Source organism: Homo sapiens, chromosome 1 (assembly GCF_000001405.40).
Source record: "Homo sapiens chromosome 1, GRCh38.p14 Primary Assembly".
NCBI classification, from domain to species: domain Eukaryota; kingdom Metazoa; phylum Chordata; class Mammalia; order Primates; family Hominidae; genus Homo; species Homo sapiens.
The window spans coordinates 154,743,373-154,766,111 of record NC_000001.11 but is presented as its reverse complement, the minus strand read 5'-3'; the positions used below and the strand labels follow the sequence as shown (position 1 = coordinate 154,766,111).

Here is a 22,739-nt window from a genome sequence, read left to right as displayed (position 1 = left end):
GAGAGATAGATGGCTGGGGAGGGGGAAGGTGGGGAGGCGACAGGGATCCTGCTGGAGGCCTTTGAGAAAAACCTGCAGCATTAAGGAAGAGGAAAATAATCCTGAAGATTCCTGAAAAATGTTTAATTATGAAAAACAAAAAGCAACATTAGAAGAGTCTTGGGTGGCCAGGCACAGTGGCTCACGCCTGTAATCCCAACACTTTGGGAGGTCAAAGCAGGTGGATCGCTTGAGGTCAGGAGTTGGAGACCAGCCTGACCAACACAGCAAAAACCCATCTCTGCCAAAAACAAAACAAAACAAAACAAAAAAAAACCAAAAAAAACATTAGCCGGGAGTGGTGGTGCATCTGTAGACTCAGGAGGCTGAGGTGGGGGGATCACCTAACCTGGGAGGTCAAGAGTGCAGCGAGCAGAGATTGCGCCACTGCACTCCAGCCTGGGTGACAGAGTGAGACCCTGTCTCAAAAAAAAAAAAAAAAAAGGAAAAAGAAAGAAGAGTCTTGGGCATCTCTAATAGGGTGCCAGAATATATATGATCCTTATGATAGAGAAGAGTGGGCAGATGTGAAATGAAAATGTATCTGGTTCACATAAGCACAGAGTTCCAGAAAACTAAAATTGTTTTAGCAAAATGAAAATCCACATTGATGGCACTACATTTTTAAAAATGTGGAATGTGGAGACAAACTTAAAAAATTTAAAGCTCTCTCAGAATGCAGAAGAGATAAGAGAAAGGATGAATAGGACAGAACTGGAGGCTATAGGATCCAGGTGAAATCTAAGAATTAGAGTTATTTCAGAGGAAGAAATGATAAATTTGGATAAAAGCATAATCAGAAATATACGCACAGTAAACATTTTCAGAATTGGCCTAGGTAAGGGGATGTTGTGTGTGGGGATGGTAGATCAGAGTAGGCAGATCGAAACGGATTCCTCTTTTCCAGTTAGAATGTGGGGGACAGGAGGAGCCACCCCTAGACATACCCCAATACATTCTTTTTCTGGAAAATTTATTGAATCATAAGGTGAAACAATCCTAGAGGCACACAGGCATCCCAGAGCTGACTCTCCCTCAGGAACCCTAAATTCAGAGTCATTAGAACAGTTCCACAGTATTTTAAATTTGGATCCACCCTGTCATTTGAATGAGGCAACCAAAGGGCAACAAAAGTCATTCTTGGAGTTTACTTTTGGGGGGAACTCGTTTGCCAGTTGACCAAAGACTGAATCACAATTAAGATCTTAATAATGAAATGTTGTAAAGAAAGGCAGACATTGGTTCACACAGGCAAACATGAAATCAAGACTAAACTTACGCGTAGTTGCAAAACTCCAAATTCTAATGTCAAAGAAAAAGTAGATTCTGGAAAGAGTGGATGTATGAAATTAAAGCAATAATTCAATAATAATTAGAGGGTTGCAAATCCTCAGATTAAAAATTTGAGAGGAGAAGGCTAGAAGGGATTAGTAAAAGCATGCCAGATGCGTTGTCCTATGTAGAGGAGAATTTTAAAATAAAGCCCTATTACTCAGTTTTAGCAATCAGAGAAATATTTTTTTTAAAACCTAAAGGAACCACAGGCAAAATTTTATGAGTATAACAAGAATAACAGTAGCATCAGCCATATATTGTTTCACTTAATCCATACCATAGTTCTATGAGACTGTATCTGCATTCTGTATATGAGGATGTTGAGACACAGAGAGGTTGAGCGATGTGCCTCAGGCCACAGAGCCAGCAGACTTGAGACTCCAACACCAGCCTGAGAGCCTTTTCCCTACCCTGAAAACATATACCTCCCATGCCACATCAGAGCCCACATAGCTAAGACAGAAAAAATAAAGGAAGCAGGAAGGAAGAATTTCAATACAAAGTATGAAAGAAGATCAGAGAAAAACAAACTTAAAATTTATAACAATCAACATAATTGTGTTTACCTCCTTGTTAAAAGTAAATGTCTCTTAGATGAGATTTAAAAGCAAAATTTAATTGCATGCAATTTACAAAAGAAGTACCTAGAACAGAAGGACCCAAAAATAAATGAAGAGCAAAGATTTATTAGGTAAGTACAAATCAGATGGCAAACGAATAGAAATTCTCATTTTAAACCAAAATGAATTCAAAACAGAAATCATTAAATTGTCCAAAAGAACCATTTAATATGGATAAAAGTGCTATATACAGTAAAACTGTGAATTTTATACAAAAAATGAGATTGATAATCTGAATTTTTAAATGTTTAAATTAATTGAGCACTTTGTAGCCTATAAACAAACATCTTCTTTTTAAGCATCCAGGGAACACTTTAAAAAATTGATCAACTTCTTGGTCACACATTTCAAAACATCAGAAAAGTTGCTCGGGCTGTATTCTCTGACCACAAGCCTATAAAACTCCAATTAAAGGACAACTTTTTGGTGGGACTTTTAAAGCAATCTCCTCAATTACAACAGAGAATTCAAAACTACCGTTAAAGGCTATTAGAAAATTACAACAATGATGACCCTGTACGTAAAAACTCAGGATGTGACCAAAGGTGTACTCAGATGAAAAACATCCTTAAAGTTTTTCAGGCACAATGGTGTGCACTGATAGCCCCAGCTACTTGGGAGGCTGAGGTGGGAGGATCACTTGAGCCTAGGAGTTCGAGCCAGTAGTGGACTATGATTGTGCCTGTGGATAGCCACTGCCTCAGCCTGGGCAACATAGGGAGACCCCATTTTTAATAACAAAAACAGAAAAAAATGAACAGAGAAAATAACTGAATCCATTAGAAGAACAAAACAAACCTCAGGAGGGAAGATTAAGTTTATAACAAAGGCAAAGATAGGAATTAATGAATTTAAAAACCAGAAAAACATAATTTATAAATCCAAAAGATACCAACTTCTAAAATATAAATTTAATTGAGAAAAAAGAAAACACAAAATTAGAAATTTTAATGGAGAATAACTACTGATTCTTAGGATGTTTTAATAAATAAGTGAGAATAGCTTAACTTTTTTTGAAAGAGAAGACCATTGAGGGGGCTTTCTCTACTAGATATTAAAATGTATTATAAAACTGAAAGTAATTAAGTCCCTCTGGCATTACTGAAAAATCAATAATGACAGATCAATGAAACCTAATGGAAAACACTGAAATAAACCCTACTATGTTAGAACCCAATATACGAGAAAGAAAACCAACTGGGAAGCGATAGATTATTCAATAAATGGTAATGGAGAAATTGGAAGCTTGGATGAAAAATCAAATTGGAACCCTAGCTCTCACCAGCCACCAAAATAAATTCCAGGTGGATTAAAAAGTCAGATGTAAAAGAAGAAACCATGAGCAAGCTCCAGAAAACAAAGTGAATATTTAATCAGCCCTGAGAGGAGAAAGAACTGTTAAGCATAAAATCTCAGAAGAAACATGAAGGAAAAAACTGGTGTGTTTGATTACATCATACACACAATTTTAGATTTCAGTCCCTCAAAAAATATGAACTTATTTAAAGAGCAAATGTTATGCTAGAAAAAGTATTTGCAGCAAACATGACAAGAGGTAAATATCCCTATTATACAAAGCAGTCTTAGAAACTAATCAGAAGAACTTATCTCCCCAGTGAAAAAAATAGGCTGAAGATAAGGCCAACTACAAAGGAAGAAATACAAAAAGCCAATAAAATAAAACACACAACACATATTCAGTCCCTCTAATCAAAGAACTGCAAATTATAACTACAAGGAGAATTACTTTTTCCCCTCTGGAGTTGACAAAATTTTAAATAAATATAACTCAGTGCTGGAGAATCTTCTTATTGTTGGCGGTGGGCGGGCATGGGGTTGTCTTACGCTGAGGGCAAGAAGGAAATTAGACCATCTTTCTGGAAAACAATTTAACAATTTGTCACAGGAGCCTTGAGTTTGTAACTTTGATCCAGGAATTCTCTTTCTAGGAAGCTATTTTAATAGAATAATCAATTTACATCAAACCTCTTCTGCATGGTGCAGTTTATAATAGAAAAGAATGAGAAACCAAGTAAACATCTAGGATTTCAATGGCTAAACAAGTATGGCACATCCATATGATGGGTAGTTAGCAAGAATTTTAAAAAATCAAATCAACGTGTTTGTTTTCGTTTTTGTTTGTTTGTTTGTTTGTTTGTTACTTCGTTGTTTGTTTTTGATGCGGAGTCTCATTCTGTCGCCCGGGCTGGAGTGCAGTGGCGCCATCTCGGCTCACTGCAGCCACCACCTCCCGGGTTCAAGCAATTATCTTGCCTCAGCCTCCCGAGTAGCTGAAATTACAGGCACCTGCCACAACGCCTGGCTAAGTTTTTGTATTTTTAGTAGAGACGGAGTTTCTCCATATTGGCCAGGCTGGTCTTGAACTCCTGGCCTCAAGTGATCCACCTGCCTCGGCCTCTCAAAGTGCTGGGATTACAGGCGTGAGCCACCGCGCCCGGCCTAAAAATCAATCTTTTGAAAATTACAGTAAGGTAGGAAAATATTCATGATGTAATATTTGAAAAAGGAGCGTACAAAATAGCATTATGTAGGATATTACCGATTTATAGATAGGTGCAGAAATACCTGGAAAATACATAGAAACATTAAGTTGATTTCTTTGTGTTACATGTAATATTTATTTATTTATGAGATAGAGTCTCGCTCTGTCATCCGGGCTGTAGTGCAGTGGCGCAATCTTGGCTCACTGCAACCTCTGCCTCCTGGGTTCAAACTATTCTCATGCCTCACCCTCCTGAGTAGCTGGGATTACAGGCGTGCGCCACCATGCCCGGCTAATTTTTGTATTTTTAGTAGAGATGGGTTTTCGCCATGTTGGCCTGGCTGGTGGTCTGCAGCTCCTGGTCTCAGGTGATCCGCCCGCCTCAGCTTCCCAAGGTGTACATGTGATTTTCATACATGTAAACATTAAGTTGATTTCTTATGACGTTACATGTGATTTTTTATTACTTTTTATTGTATTTTCAACAATGAGAATGAATATACATATATAAATTTTTAATGGAAAGAGGTAGCATTTGTTTTTACACACTTGACGAAGCCCCTCATCTTCCATAGGAACTCATGTTTTACATCAACGCGGGGTGGAAAGTAAAGCTGAATGGCTCAGTTTTTACACATAATTTTCTCTAACAAGCGCAATGCAAGTTCCGTCTTGAAGGGCTCTCTTCCGACCCGTCGGCCAGTGGCCTTGGTGGACAGGGCCGCGGGGCGCCTTTGCGGGGCCGGAGTGCTTCTTCGCGGGCGCGCGCCTCCCTTGGAGCCCCTCTGCGGCCGGCCGCTTATGGGAGCGCCCGAGCCGGCGTGCGGGCAGGTGGAGCTCCACAGGGGACGTGTGATCGAGGCAGGCGCCACTGGCTCTTCAGTAGCCTCCCGGGCGTCCCCGCGGTGTTGCGGGGTCCGGTGGGGAGAGGCCGCGAGTCCGCGGGTGGTTCCCGCGCGGCCAGGCGGTCGTGGAGAGGCCGGGGCCCGGGAGAGGCCGAGGCTCGCTCCGCCAGGGGGCGCAGGGAGGGCCAGGTGGGCGGTGTCCCCACCTGCAGGGACTCGCTGTGGAGGAGCAGAGCGTTCAGGTTTCCTCTCGCTGTGGCGACAGCCGGAGCGGCTTCAGGGCTGGGCCGGCGGCTCCAGGGCTGCTGCTAGCTCCTGGCTCCTGTCTCGAGTGGGATCCCATTCTGATTTCACCTGCGTGATTCACAGTCTCCAGTCCCACTCCGCGGCCGCTTTCTCGTTCTGTGATCTCGTATTCAGCCGTTCTTTCCTCTTCCTCATTGGCAGTATTTTTGTGCCCTTTGACACTTAAACTGCTCATTCGTGGCTAGTTTTTTTCGTACTTTTATATTAAATAATTATACATGACTTAGCTATTATAAGTAATGGCTGATATCTCTTAGAAAGGAGAATCAAGAAATAGGGAAATTATTAGCCAGCGTGGTGGCGCGCACCTGTAATCCCAGCTACTCGGGAGACTGAGGCAGGAGAATCGCTTGAACCTGAGAGGCGGAGGTTGCAGTGAGCCAAGATCGCACCATTGCACTCCAGCTTGGGAGACAAGAGTGAGACTCCGTCTCAAAAAGAAAGAAAGAAGGAAAAGAAAGAGAGGAGAAAGAAAGTGGGAGAGAGAGAGAAAATAAAATAAAAAAGAAACTGGTAAAGCAAGGAAAATTTCCATAAAATTTGCATTCTGAAGCACTAAGTTTGGGACTGTGGGTGCAAAGTGAAATCCATATTGCATTGAGAAACCATTCCATTTTTTCAGTCAAGTCAATCCCCAAATTATTCCAAATTATTTGCTGCATTACACCAAACCTGGGTTTCCCTTCACTCTCTTCTGCTGGGAAGTCACCAGTGTCTTTTGTCTCCAGGATTTTTGCCTTAGGGAGACCCAGTTAAATGCCAGGGTTCCTTCTTTAACTGGGGAGGACTATCTGACCTTTGTCACTGGAATGAATTCCTTCCCAAGTCTGCCAAAGATGGTACACAGTGACAGTTAGTGCCATGCTGGGTGTGTAGGAGAGAAGTGACTTCCTTTCCTACAGCGGATGCCTAAGGGCATGGGGCTTCATTCTCACCCGCTCCCCCACCCACCTCCTTGGAGGGGCTGAGGTAAGGAAAAGGAAGGGGTTCCTGTAAGTGACGTCAGCCACATCTATTTGTGGGCTGACATTAGTCAAGCAGGAAATCCATATTCTGTCAGCTTTTCCATCCTTCAACTTTGGGGTTGTTTTGTTTGCCCCTCGTGATCCCATTGTGCCCTACATTTCCGGTGCAGACCCCTCCCTCAAAGGACGGGCACCTCAGCTCCACAGGGCCCCTTCTCCATGAGTTTGGTGTCCTAGGCTGGCTCTCAGGAGCGCAGCTCTTCACCCCCCTGTGTTTCCCCTGCCCTCCACTGCCAGCTTGGGGCCCCCGCGCCAGGCTGGGGTAAAGCCCTGCATTCCTGGCTCACATAGCGCAGCTGCTAGAAGGGTTTTTAAAAATGTGATTTTTTTTGGCCGGGCATGGTGGCTCACACCTGTAATCCCAGCACTTTGGGAGGCCAAGGTGGGCAGATCACCTGAGGTCAGGAGTTCCATACCACCCTGGCCAACATGGCGAAACGCTGTCTCTATTAAAAATACAAAAATTAGCCCAGTGTGGTGGTGAGCGCCTGTAATCCCAGCTACTCACGAGGCCGAGGCAAGAGAATCGCTTGAACTCAGGAGGTGGAGGATGCAGTGAGCCGAGATCACACCATTGCACTCCAGCCTGGGCAACAGAGCAAGACTCCATCTCAAAAACAAAAACAAAAACAAAAACAAAAACAAAACGATGTTCTCCTTCCATTTAATACAGACTCCTCTGTTCCCTGAGACTTGGCCCCAGTCCCCCAGAGGCTGAGCTGAGAGGGAATATGGGTGAGACATGCCATATTCCTTGAGTACCCCACCTCGTTCCATTCGGTCTGGATGCCTGCTTGCCCCCCACTGCACAGAGAGTTTAAGGGCAGCCAAAGTCCCCTGGCTGCCTTTGAGTAGTGGCCCTGGAAGCCTGCTGGCCCTAACACACCTGGTCATTTTGTTTTCCCAAAAGGCGCCTGGGAGCCGCCTGGTAACACAGCCCCTGCGGGCCCTCTCAGACAGGGCCAGACATGCTGCAACGGGCCCAGATGGGCTCTGACACTCCCACAATAGAGGGGGCACAGAACTTAGTAAAACTCCTTTTAAATATCTTAAACATGTTTCAGCTGAGCCAAGGGGAAAACACCTAGTACACAGTGGCAATCGCACCAGCACAGGATCCATCCTGTGATCAGGACTGCCTGAACTCAGGGTGGAAAAACTCGGTTTGACCCCTGGTTCTACCATTAACCTTGCACTTGTACTTAACCTGACCAGAGTCATGCAGCCTCTTTTGAACACCCTCTGGGACACTACTTTAAAAGACTATCCAATCCATTTGCAGACAGCTCTGACTTAGAAATCTCTTCCTATTATTGGTTAATATTGGTTAAAACGTGTAGTTTCTGTCTTGGGTCCTAACTCAGTTCTCTGGGTCCGCACGAAAGAAGTTCAAGTACCATAGGCTGGCGGTTAAGCCATTGACCTCTGGGAAGATGTGAGCGTGGAGCCTTGCTTATGCTCTTACTAGCAGGTGACGTTGGGCCAGGAAAGGGGATAATTCACAAAAAGCCCTTAGCACAGTGTAGAACATTTAGCACACGGTGAGTACCCAGTGAAGCAGCCAGGTATTTCTTTTTCTACTGAAGGTCCCTTGAGTATCCAAAGTCAGGTTGAATCTTCTCTGCTCCAACCCAGTGGTCTCCAGTCCCCTCAACCATTGTCACAGGACTTCTGGTCAGACTCCACCCTCTCGCTCACTCTCCTCCCCTGGTCATCAGTGTCCTCATGAAGCGAAGGCCCCAGAACGAACATAGTGCCCCAAGTGTTAGGCATCCTCCCATTTCCTCGGCATTATTTTCCTTTTAATGCAGCCTGAGAGTGGCCCATATTCTTAGGGCAAAGGGCTCCCAGGCATAATGGCCTGGGAATTAGGGAGCGAGACCCAGGGCCCATCTCTGTTTAGATTGGGCACTCTTGACAGTTCCATTCTATAGCCCCATGCTCTATTGTTAACTTTTCTTCAATACAATTGTAAGGGCCTTGTTTAGCCTGAATCCTGCAGGGAGCAACTTGCACCCTTGTTCCACATGGCCACTACCAGATAAGAGCCACAGCTCAGTAAGGCCAGAGGAGTGGTTCAGCCACGTGGGAACCAGCCAGGACTCAAAGAGACAAGAGGCTCCTGTCCTGTTTCCAGCTTTAGCAAGGGAGTTGAGGGCTGGCCTGAAGTCCATTTCTCTCTGCCTTAGTTTTCCTGCTGATAAAAGCAATAGTTAGTTTCTCAGGCTCCCGCAGATTTCTCAACAGATTGTTTGAGCACTGAAGTTGAGATCTCTCCTGCTCTCTGGACACATCTCATACTGATTCCCCCCATACCCTATTTCCTACACAGGTCTGTCCTTTACCTGGACATTCTCCCTCCTCTGCCGTTTCCCTTCATCATGCTTGCTCCCGGAGAATGCAGGCACTCTCACAGGAATGCATCCATGCATCCCAAGTGGAGCATTGAGCCACGCCTCTCTCTGAGCTGCAGTGCTCTCATGAGAGACTTGCTAAATAATAATACTGTTATGTATAGGTGTGGAGCTCTGCTATTCACCAGGCACTGTGCTAGGAATTAAATATATCTTAAAGCATAAAACACACATGATTTTTTCCCTCATGGGCTTACAGTCTACCAGGGAAGACAGGTAACAAGTAAGGAAACAAAAAGTAGATAATTTCAAATCTATGACATATACTGTGAAAGTGGAAAAAAGAAGTTTGCAATGATTCTTTTTTAAAAAAAAATTTATGGCATTGGATTGGGATCCTACTCATCTGGGGCCTGCTTGGAGGTGTCTCTGGGGAGGTGATGCTTCAGCTGAGGTCTGAAGGATGAGAGGAAATGAGCCCTTCACAGACCAAGAGGGTGAGCCTTCTGAGAAGAATGAGAAGACTGCACCAAGGCCCTGAGCTGGCAAGGAGCCGGGGGGAAGGAGTCACTGGAAGGAGAGTAAACAGATGAAGGGGGGTGTGGCAGGGACTGAGCCGCAGAAGGGGGCAGGAGGCTGAAAGTGAAGGGCCCTGAGTGCCATGTTGTGGGGTTGAACCTAAGTGCAGTGGAAAGCCTTTAAAGAGTTTTATCTTTTTATTTACTTGTTGTTTCTTCTTCTTCCTCCTCCTCTTCTTCTTTTTCTTCTTCTTCCTCTTCCTCTTCCTCCTCCTCCTCCTTTTCATCGTCGTCGTCTTCTTCTTCTTTGCCTTTGCCTTCTTGTTCTTCTTGCTCTTCCTCCTCCTCTACCTCCCCAACCCCTCCTCCTCCCCTCCCCATCCTCCACCTCTTCTTCTCTTCTTCTTCTCCTCCTTCTTCTTCCTCCTCTTCCTCCTCCTCATCTTCCTCTTCCTTCTTCTTCCTTCTTCCTTCTTTCCCCCTCCTCCTCCTCCTTCTTCTTCCTCTTCCTCTTCCTCCTCCTCCTCCTTTTCATCATCGTCTTCTTCTTCTTTGCCTTTGGCTTCTTGTTCTTCTTGCTCTTCCTCCTCCTCCACCTCCCCAACCCCTCCTCCTCCTCCCCTCCCCATCCTCCACCTCTTCTTCTTCTCTTCTTCTTCTCCTCCTTCTTCTTCCTCCTCTTCCTCCTCATCTTCCTCTTCCTTCTTCTTCCTTCTTCCTTCTTTCCCCCTCCTCCTCCTTCTTCTTCTTTGCCTTCTTCTTCTTCCTCCTCCTCCTCCCCTCTCTCTCTCCTCCTCCACCTCTCCTCCTCCTTCTTCTTCTTTGCCTTCTTCTTCTCCTTTTCCTTCTTCCTCTTCCTCTTCTTCTTCTCCCTTCTCCTTCTCCCTCTCTCCCTCTTTCTTCCTTCCTTCCTTTCTTCTTTCTTTCTTTTCTTTCTTTCCTTCCTTCCCTCCCTCCCTCCCCCTCCCTCCCTCCCTTCTTTCTTTCTTTCTCTCTCTCTCTTTCTTTCTTTCTTCCTTCCTTCCTTTCCTTTCTTCTTCTTTCTTTCTTTCTTTCTTTCTTCCTTTCTTTCTCCCTTTCTTCCTTCCTTTCTTCCTTTCTTTCTTGTCTCACTTTGTCACCCAGACTGGAATGCAATAGCATGATGACAGCTCACTGCAGGCTTTAACTCCTGGGCTCAAGCAATCTTCCCACTTCAGCCCTCTGAGTAGCTGGGACTACAGGCATAAGCCACCATGCCTGGCTAAATACAAAAATTTTTTGGCGACAGAGTCTCTCTATGTTGCCCAGGCTGGTCTTAAACTCCCAGCCTCAAGCAATACTCCCACTTCAGGTTCCCAAGTATTAGGATTATAGGTGTGAGCCACCATGCCTGGTGCTTTTGAAGGGTTTTAAATAGGAGAGTAATACAATATGGTTGCTTCTAAAAATATTACTTTGGCATCTTTGTGAGTAAATTGGAGGTGGCAAGAAAACTACTAGGAGGACTAAAAAGGCTACTGCAGCAGGCCAGGCAACAGACAAAAGTGACTTAGAAGGGCGGTGGTGGCGGTGTAGAGTTCTTGAATACATCCCTGCACCATGCCAAGTTTTATATACATCTTCTCCTGTACTGATGTCCCACGCATCAAATCTGTGATCAAACTCATCATGTTGCCCCTAAATTCTCTCTCTGCTTCTCTGTTTGTGTCTTCTTTTTCTCAGGAACTTTACCCGTTAGTATTCGTTTTAGGCTGCAAGTGATAGGAAACCCAAAACAACAATAGCTTAAACAAAACAGAAGTTCTGTCTGACGCCAAAGAAGTCCGGAAAGGTGTCTATAGCAGGTATGCTGCTCTATGGCATCATCAGGGACGCAGGCTCCTTCTCCCTTGTTGCCCTGCCATCGTTGGTACGTGGCTTCTTCCTCATACTTCAAGAAAGCTGCTGGAGCTCCAGCCATCCCACCTACCTTTTAGCCATCAGGAAAGAGAAATGGACAAAATAAGGTTGTTTCTTTCTTGTTAAGGACATTTCCTCGAAGTAACACATGTCACTTTCATTTACATCCGTTGGTCATTCACATGGCGGGAAAATGTAGTCTTTATTATTGGTAATCATTGCTCCTTCCTGGGCGCTCTTACTAATGAAGAAGAGGAGACGTGCTGTTGGGCTGCAACCATCTCTCAGGCTCAAATCGTTCCCCATCCTTATGCCACTCCCAGCCCCATTTCCAGCCCTCTATTTAGGCACCAAGCTCTATGGTTCTTATTCTGCGGTGTCGCTTGAAGTCATCTCTTCCTGCTACCTCCCTGACACAGATCCCTGTCATCTTACACCAGTTTACAGAAGTAGCTTTTCTGGCTTCCAGTTACCGTTCCTACTATTACCCCTCAAAAACCTTCAATTGCTCCCTCTAGAAGATTAAGTCCATATTTTTAAATTTAGTGACCAAGGCCCTCCATCATGCAATTCCAGTCAACCCATGATAAAACCGGTTTGGTTCAATTTTAGTAACATCAGCAACAATGGTAATAATGATACTTTGCATTCCTACATGGAAGGTTTTATTGCTCACAGAAGGGACAGCACATGGCCCCTGGAGTCAGAAACGTGCGCTCATAGCCTGGCTTGACAACGGACCAGCTGTGCGATCCTGGGCAAGTCACCTGCCCTCTATTAAATAAGCACCTGCGACTGGCTGGTTCCTGATAAACCCTGAGCCCTTTCCTTTCCTGGGCCTCTTTCTTGGGATCTGTAGATAGGAAGTAAGCCTGGTCTACCTGCTTCCCAGGGGATTAGGAAGTTCAAACAAGAGGAGACCTGAACAGCTGGGGGAAACATAAAACACTGGACATCCTCTTCTGTTTTTCACCACGACCCTATGAAGTGAGCAGGCAGGACGGGGAACCCACGGTCCCTATTTCGTGGATGAGGATGTGGTGGCTCAAGGAGGCTCATGATCTGCCCTGGCCCTGACTTGTAGGGCAGTGGAGGAGGCCTGGGCCCTTGGGACCCCGATCGCCTGTGGCAGGGCTTTTGGGGTATGTGTTCCACTGGGGAGGTGTGTTACAGAGTGAGTCTGTGTTGAGACAAAAGGAGAAAGAACATAAGACGCAAAGTTTTTCTTTCAGCTTGGACTGTGCAGTCATTTTCTAATTTCTTTGAGGTCATGCTGTTTGGTACCTAGGAAAGGAATTGTGATTGGTGTTCTAGAAAAACAGTGATTTTTAGGGGGAAGCCACTGCCTATTAGTAAGTACAGGCAGAAGCGGCTCATTGTCCTTGAATGCCATGATGTCTGTTTTCGAGGGGTGGGGTGGGGTCTGGTGACTGGCTAGACTTTTTTGGAGAAAATGTATAACAAACTTAATAAAGTAAACATCTATGTTGTCAAACTTACTGAGTTAAGTAGATGTGAATATAGTTAACTGAGTAGTAGCTTTAGAATTATTTTGTCAAGTTTAACATGTGAAATTGTTCCCACTTAGTTACCAGTATTCTTAAATTGTCTTGTTTATAATTTAAACTGTGCATTTTATTTAGAGAGTAAATGTGTCTGGAGGCTTTTCATTATTTCAGAAATTAGAGGATAGATTCCTGAGGTGCCCGGCCTGTCCCTGAGGCCACGTGATGCAGAACTGGAGGCAGGTGAGTCTGAGCCGGGTGCTCGGAGCCTAGTCAAGGGTGACCACAGGCCGAGGGAGGAGAAACTTCTGACATGCAGTGTCCTCATAGGAATGCTTTGTGGTGTTATCTCCATTTCCCTGATGGAAAAACTGAGGCCAAGAGCAGTGGGGTAACTCCCCCACCATAGTGTGGAGTTGCTTAATTGCCTCGCCCCCAGCAGGGGGCATGTCTGTGTGATAATGTCTGCTACAGTGCCCAGCCTCTGTAGGAGGCTAGGAATTGTTTTTTAATAAATAAGGAGCACTATCTTCGTTCATGGCCATTCATTCTACACAGGTTCTCCTCTGTGGCCCAGCACTCTGTGAAGTAAGCAGGGCAGGAGCAATTTTCCCATTTTAGAAATTAGGAAATGGAGGCTTTGGGAGGTAAGCGAGCCAGGGTCTCACTGCTGGCCCGGGGCTGCTGCCCGCAGAGTCCTCCACCTGGAGCACTCCCATTCTCCGAGGTTCCCTTGCCAGCTGGGCATGGCTGTCCAGACTGAACATCACTCCTTCCTTCCTTCATCTGCTCAGTGCTTGAAGATCCCAGAGCCCAAGGTCACTTCAGCTAACAAGCTGATGTCCCTATATTTGGGTGAGCTGATGGTGCTAATGGCAGTGTAGATCTTCGTTTTAGAGGATAATTATGTTTTCTGAAAGTCTGTGGAGAATTGTGCCATTGCTTGAGGGATATCTAATAAAAATCACGCACTGGATAAAAGCAGACCAGAGTTCACCTAAGGAATCATCATCGTCATCATTGTCATCATCTTCCTTATCAACAGCCTCATCTCTACTCATGACAGATTTGGCCAAAAAGAAAAAAAATAAAGGAGGCCTTTCGAGGACTTAACACCCGGAGGACTTTCCTCCATGCCTCCTCTCTCTGTCTGTCTTCCTAATTTCAGTGAGTCAGTTTTTCCTCCCCATCTGTTTGCTTTCTGGCACTTTACACAACTGTCTGGGCTCTTTCATTTTGCCTTCTGTGGTTGCTCAACTCCATCATTTCCCTCTCGATGCTTCTCCTTTGTTCCCTGGCAGGCTCCTCTCATCTGCCAGTTTCCAGTCCTATGAAGAGTCAGAGGTGGGTTTTAGTTTTCAGGCAGCATTTTTGTTGCCTGGCAACGTGTAACAAGCATCTTCTGTGGTGGCTGCTTCCCTTAAAACAGAGCCAGGCTGGGGATGCAGTGGACGAAGGAGTCTCTGGGAGCTTCTCTGGGGTCATGGGGAGGAGTCAGGGGAGGGGGACAGACAGACAGGTTGGCTTCCATGGTGACTCTGAGTGTTGCCATTCTTACTCTTTTATAATAGCCTTGGCACTGGCACGCCCTCTCCTGCCCCATTTCAGGCACCCCAGGTGTCCAGTGGTGAAAAGCCTTGGGTTAGGAGCCATCAGAAGTTCTGTGTAACTTGAGAGGCACCTGCTGCAGCTCCCTGAGGCATGGCCAGCCTGGATGAAGGCTGCTAGGTGGTTTCCACTGGTGCTGACTCTTGCTTCATCTTGTCTGCACGGGATGCCACAGGCCTCCTGTCTGGAAAGACACCTGGCTTTTGCCTCTGCAGTCAGCCCAGCTGCTAGTTGTCCCGAGAATGGGAGTGGGAGAGAGAAGGGGGACAGAATGTGATCCAAAAAAACACCTGACTTAGAGCTGGAGGGGGCTTTAGAGCTTCTTTAGCCAAATCCTCATATTGTACACACGAGGAAACCAAAGCCCAAAGAAGGGAAGCAACTTGTCCAGACTCACACCGCGAGTTGGGCGGGTCTGAGCTCCCAGCCAAGGGTCTCTCTCCTGGGACTGGACTCTGCCGAGCTCACACATCTGATGCCCTGTGGCTAGAAAGAGGCAGCATGTGGTGAGAAGTGCACCAGATGCCCAGTTCTCCGCTTTCTGGCCTCCATTTGCTTATCTAAAAAGAATGAGGTGAACTGGGCTAGAGGGAGCCCCAAGACTCAGTGACTCTGATGGTAAAGCTGACACAGCAGGCAGGCCCCTGCTGCCCAGGCCTTCAGCCACGTGTCCAGGGCTGCTCTCACCGCCCCAGGAAAGCTCAGAAGCTGAGGGGGTCCTGGGCCTCTGAGCTGATGCTCCCCAGGAGAATCCCACTGTATGCAGAGACCCCGAGCACAGCCACGACACTTGTCACCATGAGGCTGATTTAGGGCAAGCCTCCTGGGCATCTGTGTCTTCAAAGATGGTCTCTTAAGACCCTTATCAAGGATCAGGGCTGCAGCTGCCCACTCCCCTACCTAACCAGCTCTCCATCTAGTGTGGGAAACGGGTAAGAAAACATTCTCTGAGAATTACAGCTCCTTAGAGCTGGAAGGGGCCCTAATGCACATGGACCCAGCCCCCCACCCTTCCCAGATGAAGAGAGGGAGGCCCAGAGCTGTGAGAGTTGATGCGAAGGGGGTTTTGCTCTATTCCCTTCAGACCCCACAGGTGAGAAGGCATCTCCAGATGGGTCATCTCTTTATCCTGCTCCTTCCTTTCCTTAAGTAAGAATCTCTCAGTTCAAGAGGCAGAGAAAAGGATTGCTGAAGGCAATCTGTCTCTTCATATCTCTTTCATTCTGCTCCTGGGGCCGAGGAAATGGGTGAGGAGGGGTGCAGGAGGCCCTTGGCCTGAGCACCAGGCCTGGAGCCTTCCCTTCCAGCCGCTGCTCTCCAGAGCTTGGGGTGCACCAGCTTCGAGGCTTTAGAAGCTTCTCCAGCAAGAAAGGCCCTTCTGAGGGAAAAGTGTGTGCGACTGGCTGTCTCCATTCCTTTCTCCATATAGTGTTGACCTTCGGAATTAGCTTTATTCCTGACGTGTACCAGAATTTTCAGTTAATCATGTAAACCAAGGCTCAGGTGACTTGGCTGTGGGCAGTTGGGGCCGGACCAGCCCCTGAGAAACTACTCCCATCCCAGACTTCGTGACGCTTCACTTGGCCAGAGCCCACTCCCAGAAAGCAGGGAAATGTGCCTTTCTGCGTAGCCCAGGCCTATGGAAAGAGGCGAGAGGTCAGGGACAGCTGCACTCCCTGGGCAGGCTGCTTGTGGTCCGGGAGCATCCCGTAGTCTCCCCAAGCCCCACGGCCGTGGGGACCCCGGGTCAGGGCATTATTGTGCATATCCCTGTCCTCAGGCCCCTCATGCTCAGGCCAGACCCTCACCCAGGTGCCCTTGCCCTCAGACTCCTCCCCTTCCAGCCATTGTCTCTGTCTCCATCCCTGTCCCTCTCTTTCTCTATCTTCCTCTCTCTCTGATTCCCTGGGGGCTACTTTGCAACCTCTGCTGAGTCAGAATTCTTCCCACTCGCCCTGACGTCCCAGGCTCCTCCTTGGCACCCTGTCTTCTCTGTGGCAGGGAAAGACGCCCAACCAGAGCTCCCACGTCCTGCCCTGGGAACCCCACTGCTCTGGGAAACAAAAACAAGAAAATTCCTTCCCAGGGTACTTGTTCTGTGCTGTTCCTCTTTGTTCTTGGTCACAGGGTGATTCCCACGTCCTTCCCACACTAACCCTGCCTAGGTGAGGCTGCAGCTTTGTGTGCCTTCCACAACATTTGCTTGCCTGGGGAGCTGCCTGCCTTTAATTATCTTTGGAAAGCATAACTGAGAAGAGCAAGACACCCGTCTTTTCTTTAGGGCTCTTGCCAGGAGCACTGCCTATGCAGCACTTCCCTCCAGGGGGTGCCATTCACATTGAAGTCTTCGTGACTGGCACTCCTTGGAGTTGCACAGTGCGCAACCTATGCTGCTGAACAGGGCAGCCCTGGCTCTGTCTTACTCTCCTGGGAAGCATGGCTCATTATAACACAGATCCAGGATGAGATACCTGAGAGAGAGAGAATCCCCACCAGTCTCTCCACTCATCTCACCTCCCTTTTTAGGTCTCCACCTCCTCCAAGGTGTAATATGGTCAAAGACAGGGCTCCTCCAAGGTGCAATATGGTCAAAGACAGGGCTGTGGATGCAGGCAAGTCCAAGCACACACTCGGGCCCTGCCACTCAATTGATGTTTTATTTTGTGCAAGTTTCCTAATCTAGTAATTAATCAAGTGATCCTCCCACCTCAGCCTCCAGAATAGCTGGGACTATAGACACGTACCACCATGCCCTGCTAATTTTATTCATTTTTTGTAGAGACAGCATCTCACTATGTTGCCCAGTCTGGTCTTGAAATCCTGGGCTCAAGGGATCCTTCTGTCTCAGCCTCCCAAAGTGCTTGGATTACAGGCATGAGCCACTGCACCTGGTCTAATTTTCCAATTCAGTAAAATAGGAAGTGACAGTTATGAGTCTTGTTTTTTGAGGATTAAATTCAGTAATGCGCATAAAGCTTTGGCCCACATGGCACGTGATTGGCACTTGAGAAATGATAGTGATTATTGTTATCTCTTCAAATAAGATTAGCATCCAGTCTTACCTACCACACAGAGATAGCCCCAGAAATAAAATGAAATGAGAAGTAGATCATCTCTAAGATCTTTGAGGAAGTATTTTGCAAGAATCCCAACTACTGTTGTTCTTCTCTCTGTATATAAAAAACGATGAACTGTGAAGCCCCTTTGCTTCCAAGTCACGCTCTGTGACTGATGGCAGATGTCGGGAAAGGCTCAACCAGGAGAGAGAAAGCTTGCAGGCGCGGGCGGCAGACTGAGGGCCCCGGGCGGGTGGAGCTCAATGAAAACCACAGACAGACAGCAGCTGTGAGAGCAAGCAGAGACCCAGAATGGCTTTAAACAGAAAGCAGAGGCCCACAGCAGGGAGTGAGATGAGACCAGGTTTAAACGTCACTTTCCCCTAAGTCCTTGTTCATTCACAGCTTCCTTCAGTAGCTCTGACCAGCTTTCTCAGCACCTGCCGACCGACAAACCAACCAACCAATGGAGGCTGGTGCTGGGGGTGGAGATGGCCAAGAGCCGGTGGTGAGAAGTGAGGGAGAATGGGGAAGAAGGGGCTCCACAGAGGGCACTTGATCCGGGACGGCTTTCCGGAGGAGGTGATTTCCTAGGCCTAAGGGGCCTCCGGGCAGAGGGGCCAGCATGAGGGAAGCTCGGAGGTGGGGGAGCATGGATTGGAGGAGAGAATAAGCAGTTGCTTGCTGGGGTGTCATAAGATGCGGCAGTGCACTCAACGCTACAGGAGCAGGCACGGGCCTTTTTCACCAGCCTAAGGATTTTGGAATGACTCTTCTATCAGCCAACAGTTTCCAACCTTATTTATGTACTTGTTTCTTTGATTCCAGCGATGCAGGAGAGATGATATTCAGACAGCCGACTTCTGCTGTGGGTGTGCCCCAGGTTATAAATCATTTCCATCAGGCTAGCTGGAGTCCCGGCCCTTCCTTTCCACTGAAGAAAGCAAATCAGAGTACCAGATAGCGAGAGTGATATTATCACAGGATAGCCTTGAAACTGCCATAACAAAAAAAATAAATCGTTCACAAATGTCAATCCTTCAACTACTATTAGCCCCAGAGAGACTGTTTGTCTGCCCCAGTGTGTCGCTGTGCAGAGGCTGAGAACGTCCCCTCTCCTCTTCCCACACCTAGGAGAGGGGGAGCCACTGGTAGATTGGGAGCAGGGGAGGGTCTGGAGTTTCAGAAAGATTTCCCTGGCTGCAGTGTGGAAGGGGGATTTGAGGGGAAGACGGGACACCAGCTGGGGAGGCTGCTGTAGTAACAGAATGCTGCCCCCACCACCCCTGGGTACAGTGGTGGCTGGGATGAAGAGCAAGGGCAGTTTTGAGAGAGCTAGAGGAGCCAACCTCCACCGGACTGACTCACTGGATGTGGAGTGATGGGGAGGAAGCTCAGGAACAGTGTCTGGTGTCCTAGTGTGGCTGGCTGGATAGCTGGTGGGACTGCCCACGAATAGGAGGTGCAGGAGGAAGAGGGCCGGGGTTGCAGGGGACCTGGGCAGCAGGGAGAGGGCAGGTAATGAGCAGAGTTGGGGATCGGTTGAGCTTAGTTTACCTGCCACCCCTCCAGAGATGTCCCACGTTGGGGGGACCCATGCACCTACTCCAGATGTTACCCTCCCCACTTTACAGCACAGGATTCTGCCTGGTGACATTTGATGCCATCTGTATCTGGCCACCCAGTGGGTGCAAAATGCAAGTTTGCTGATTAAGCAAAATCAACCTGAAGCAAACAAAGACTGATGTCCCCAAGGGATAGCCAGCTCCTTGGAGGCAGAAACCCTTTCCCTCTAGGGCAGAGCTTCCTCTGTGGGTCCTCACAGGGGAGGGTGGGAGAGAGACTGAACAAGTGAAAGGGAAAACAAGAGAGGAGAGATGAGAGGGAGGTGGAGACAGTGCTTCAAAGGAGAAAAAAAGAAAAAGAAGCATGAAAGAGAAGAAGAAAGAACAGAGAGGGGCAAAGGCAGGAAAAATAGAGGAGAAGGAGGAAGAAGATGGAGGGGTTTGGGGCAAGAGTAACAGTGCAGGCCAGCTGTGCCTGTGAGTTCACGGGGTTCTGCTTATTAAACCCCAGCACTGGCAACTTTGAGAAGATGCTCAGAGTTCTTTCCCCGCCCTGCTTCTCCCTCCAACTCACCTCAGCCTTCTCCTGAGCCTGCCACTCCACCCGCAGCACTGTCATCCCAACCCATACCTGCTCCTCTGAGATAGCCGTGTGTCCCCTGCGCAGTGGCCCCGTGCCCCAACTTGGCATCACTTGTCTCCATTGTAACGCGGCCCTTTTTTGCCTTGGTGTTGCTTGGTGTCTGCCTTCTTCCTAGAACTCTAAGTTCCCAAGTAGGCACCAAGCCAGGCACACAGGAGGGGGCTCATTCCTATTGCTGACCAAATGAACTCATTTACTAAGTTCCAAAATTTGTGTCAGGCACTATGCAGAGTTTTATATTTTTCACTAGTCCCGTGCAAGGTTTTACTGCTTCATTTTACAGAAGTGAAGCCCAAGACACAGAGAGGTAAGCGCCTTCCCTAGGCCACACAGCTAACAGGTGGCAGGGCTGGGATCCAAACCCCCGTCTGTTGGACTCTCTGCCCATGCCATCTCTGCCACGCCATCTCCAGATACCGTGGAAGACATGCTTCCCATGGGAACAGTGCTTCTTCCAAGCATATTATTTTTCTCCATTTTCATGCATTTTATTAAACATTTCCAAATCAGGAAACATGGAAATATTTTTTTAATAAGAAGAAAGAAAACATTGCAAATTGAGAAACTGACTCAGAAGGATTTGCCAGATGAGCCATCTGGTTTTTAATTTCAAAGAGGTTGACAGTGCTTCCCTCTAAGAAGAAAATGGACTGTGGAAGGAATGGCAGCTGGCTTCCCTCAAATGGTGCATCCATTTGCAAGGTGGAGAAGTTGAGCAAGACCAAGAGACCCAAGAGAAGAGAAACACACTCCAAGAAAAGCTTGGCCAGTGCTGGTGTTGAAGCTTCCCCGCTGAGGCCTGCAGAGGTTGCATCCAGCTGTGTGACACCAGCCAGCTGTCCCACCTCTTCCAGAGTTTCTCAGAAGCTTCTACAGGAAACCACTAATGGAGACAGAGATGCCACCACCTCGGTGAGAAAAAGCCACACCAACCAAACTCTCGTTTTCACAGAGCAAGAACAAGCTGTGGTTGTTTGGCGGCAAGTCGCATTTGTTTGTTGGAGCCATTGTGCTCTGGTGGTGCTGGTTTTCTCTCCTTTTAAAAATAACTGGAGGCCTTGCACCATGCTGTTAGTTCTTAGGGCTGGAAATAAAAGACTAGATTTAGAGTTGCCTTGGAAAGATCCAGGGCTGTTACCTTGAATTACCTGGTAGAGGAAAACGTCGTTATTTTCCTAAATTCAAAGCCAACTCTTGAAAAATAGGACACAGAGGTGAAGTGGATGGAGGGGTGGCTTTATACATGCATGTGGTGTCCTGGGCACGTGGTTTGATAGGCTTGTGATCAGCCCTGAGTCTTCAAAGCCATTTATTTTACATTTTAAGATGTTTATAAGGGAAATTGTTTTTGAGAAAAGAACGAACTATTTTTTTTTTTTTTTTGCCTTAATGTGAATTCACCCACTGGCACAAGCAGTAATAGCCCTGAAGTCACCCTAGGCCATTTATTCCTCAGCTGCCTTTGAATTTCAATGGGATTCTTTCACACGCCTCAAGCATTTCTGAAATGCTCCTAAACTAAAGGAACTCATAATACCCTTAAGAAATGATGATTTCACCCCATTTTCTCCATAAAGCTGGAATCACATGCCCTAGCATGCTGAAGGTACTTGATAATTAGAAGTTGATTATATTGGGGACCTGGACAAAGGCAGAGCTGGGAATGGGAATAAAACCCAGGACTCCATGAAAGTCTCTTTCCTTTCATAATAGCTTCTAATTCAGGCTTCTAATAGCTTCGAATGCCAGTCACATACAGAGCCTCCCGGCCATCACCTACTGGCAGTGGCTGAGCGGGTATTTTGCCAAGCTAGAATGGTTCCTGCCCAGGCACACGGGTGCTGCCTCCACGCCCCACCCTGTGCCCAGCTCACTACAATTGCCATCTTTAGCAGCCGAAAAAATACAGGTTTCAGTCCCAGTCTTTTCGCTTAGTTGCTGTGAGAAGTTAGTTAGGTCAGTTACGCACTGGAGCTTTGCACTGATTCACTGTAAAATCAGGTAACAGCTCTTATCCTGCTGGTCTTGTCCCACTGGCTTGTGAGAAAGACGAAGTGGAGCCATTCATTCATTCATTCATTCATTGGACAAGTATTTATTGAGTACTAGGGATACAGCAGTAAAGAAAACAGAAAAAGTCCTTTCCTCCATGAACCTTATATTGTAATAGGGGTTGTCAGTCAATAAATACAAAAATAGGCCACATATCTATTATGTCAGGTGGTGATAAGCGCTGTGGAGAAGAATGACTCGGGAGAAGCTGGCCTGCTGGGTGTGGGGCAGTAGTGCACTTGGAGACAGGGTGGGCGGGTAACACCTTACTGAGAAGCTGACATTTGTGCAAAGGCCTGAAATTATCTGGGATAAGAGCCTTCTAAGTAGAGATGTCCCGTGACTTATGATGGGATTACTTCACAATAAACCCACAGTAAGTGGAAAATATCATAAGTTGAAAATGCACTGAACGTACCTAACCTACTGAGCATCATAGCTTAGCCCAGCCTACCTTAAACGTGCTGGGAACACTTATGTCAGCCTGCCGCTGAGCAAAATCACCCGGCAGCACAGTGCCCTGTAGAGGACCTTGTAGAGTACTCATGATCACCTGGTTAACTGCGAGCTGCCCAGCATCAGGAGAGAGAATTGCATCACAGATCCCTAGGAAAAGATCAACATTCAGAATTTGAAGTACGCTTTCCACCGACTGTGTATTGCTTTTGCACCATTGTAAAGTGGCACCATTGTAAGTCAGGGCCATCTCTGAAAAGAACAGCAGGTGAGGGGCTCTGAGGCAGGAGTAAAGCTGGCTGGGTGAAGGAGCTGCAGAAACCCCAGGTGGCAGGGCCAATGGGCGAAGGTGAGATGGGCTCAGAGAGGCCCCCAGGTTGGGGGCCCCAGGGGACTTCGGCTTTTTTTCTGAGGGATACAGGAACTTT

General features: G+C 47.1%; 1 protein-coding gene across 5 annotated transcripts in view, besides 4 other annotated features; it reads left to right on the top strand.

Annotated features, from left to right (window-relative positions):
* KCNN3 (potassium calcium-activated channel subfamily N member 3) overlaps nucleotides 1-22,739 on the top strand; it is a 172,827-nt gene that overhangs the window by 104,170 nt on the left and 45,918 nt on the right. The gene's annotated exons all lie outside the window — the stretch shown is intronic.
* Nucleotides 5,231-5,600: a silencer, noted in NCBI's record as "silent region_1366". NCBI's record gives its function as "represses an Ori minimal core promoter by ATAC-STARR-seq in GM12878 lymphoblastoid cells {active_cell/tissue: GM12878}" and the evidence as "EXISTENCE:reporter gene assay evidence [ECO:0000049][PMID:35858748]".
* Nucleotides 16,211-16,714: an enhancer, noted in NCBI's record as "H3K4me1 hESC enhancer chr1:154721874-154722377 (GRCh37/hg19 assembly coordinates)". NCBI's record gives its function as "activates a minimal SCP1, AML or CMV promoter by ChIP-STARR-seq in primed H9 embryonic stem cells {active_cell/tissue: H9 hESC(primed)}" and the evidence as "EXISTENCE:reporter gene assay evidence [ECO:0000049][PMID:30033119]".
* Nucleotides 16,912-16,961: a silencer, noted in NCBI's record as "silent region_1365". NCBI's record gives its function as "represses an Ori minimal core promoter by ATAC-STARR-seq in GM12878 lymphoblastoid cells {active_cell/tissue: GM12878}" and the evidence as "EXISTENCE:reporter gene assay evidence [ECO:0000049][PMID:35858748]".
* Nucleotides 17,610-17,819: an enhancer, noted in NCBI's record as "active region_1782". NCBI's record gives its function as "activates an Ori minimal core promoter by ATAC-STARR-seq in GM12878 lymphoblastoid cells {active_cell/tissue: GM12878}" and the evidence as "EXISTENCE:reporter gene assay evidence [ECO:0000049][PMID:35858748]".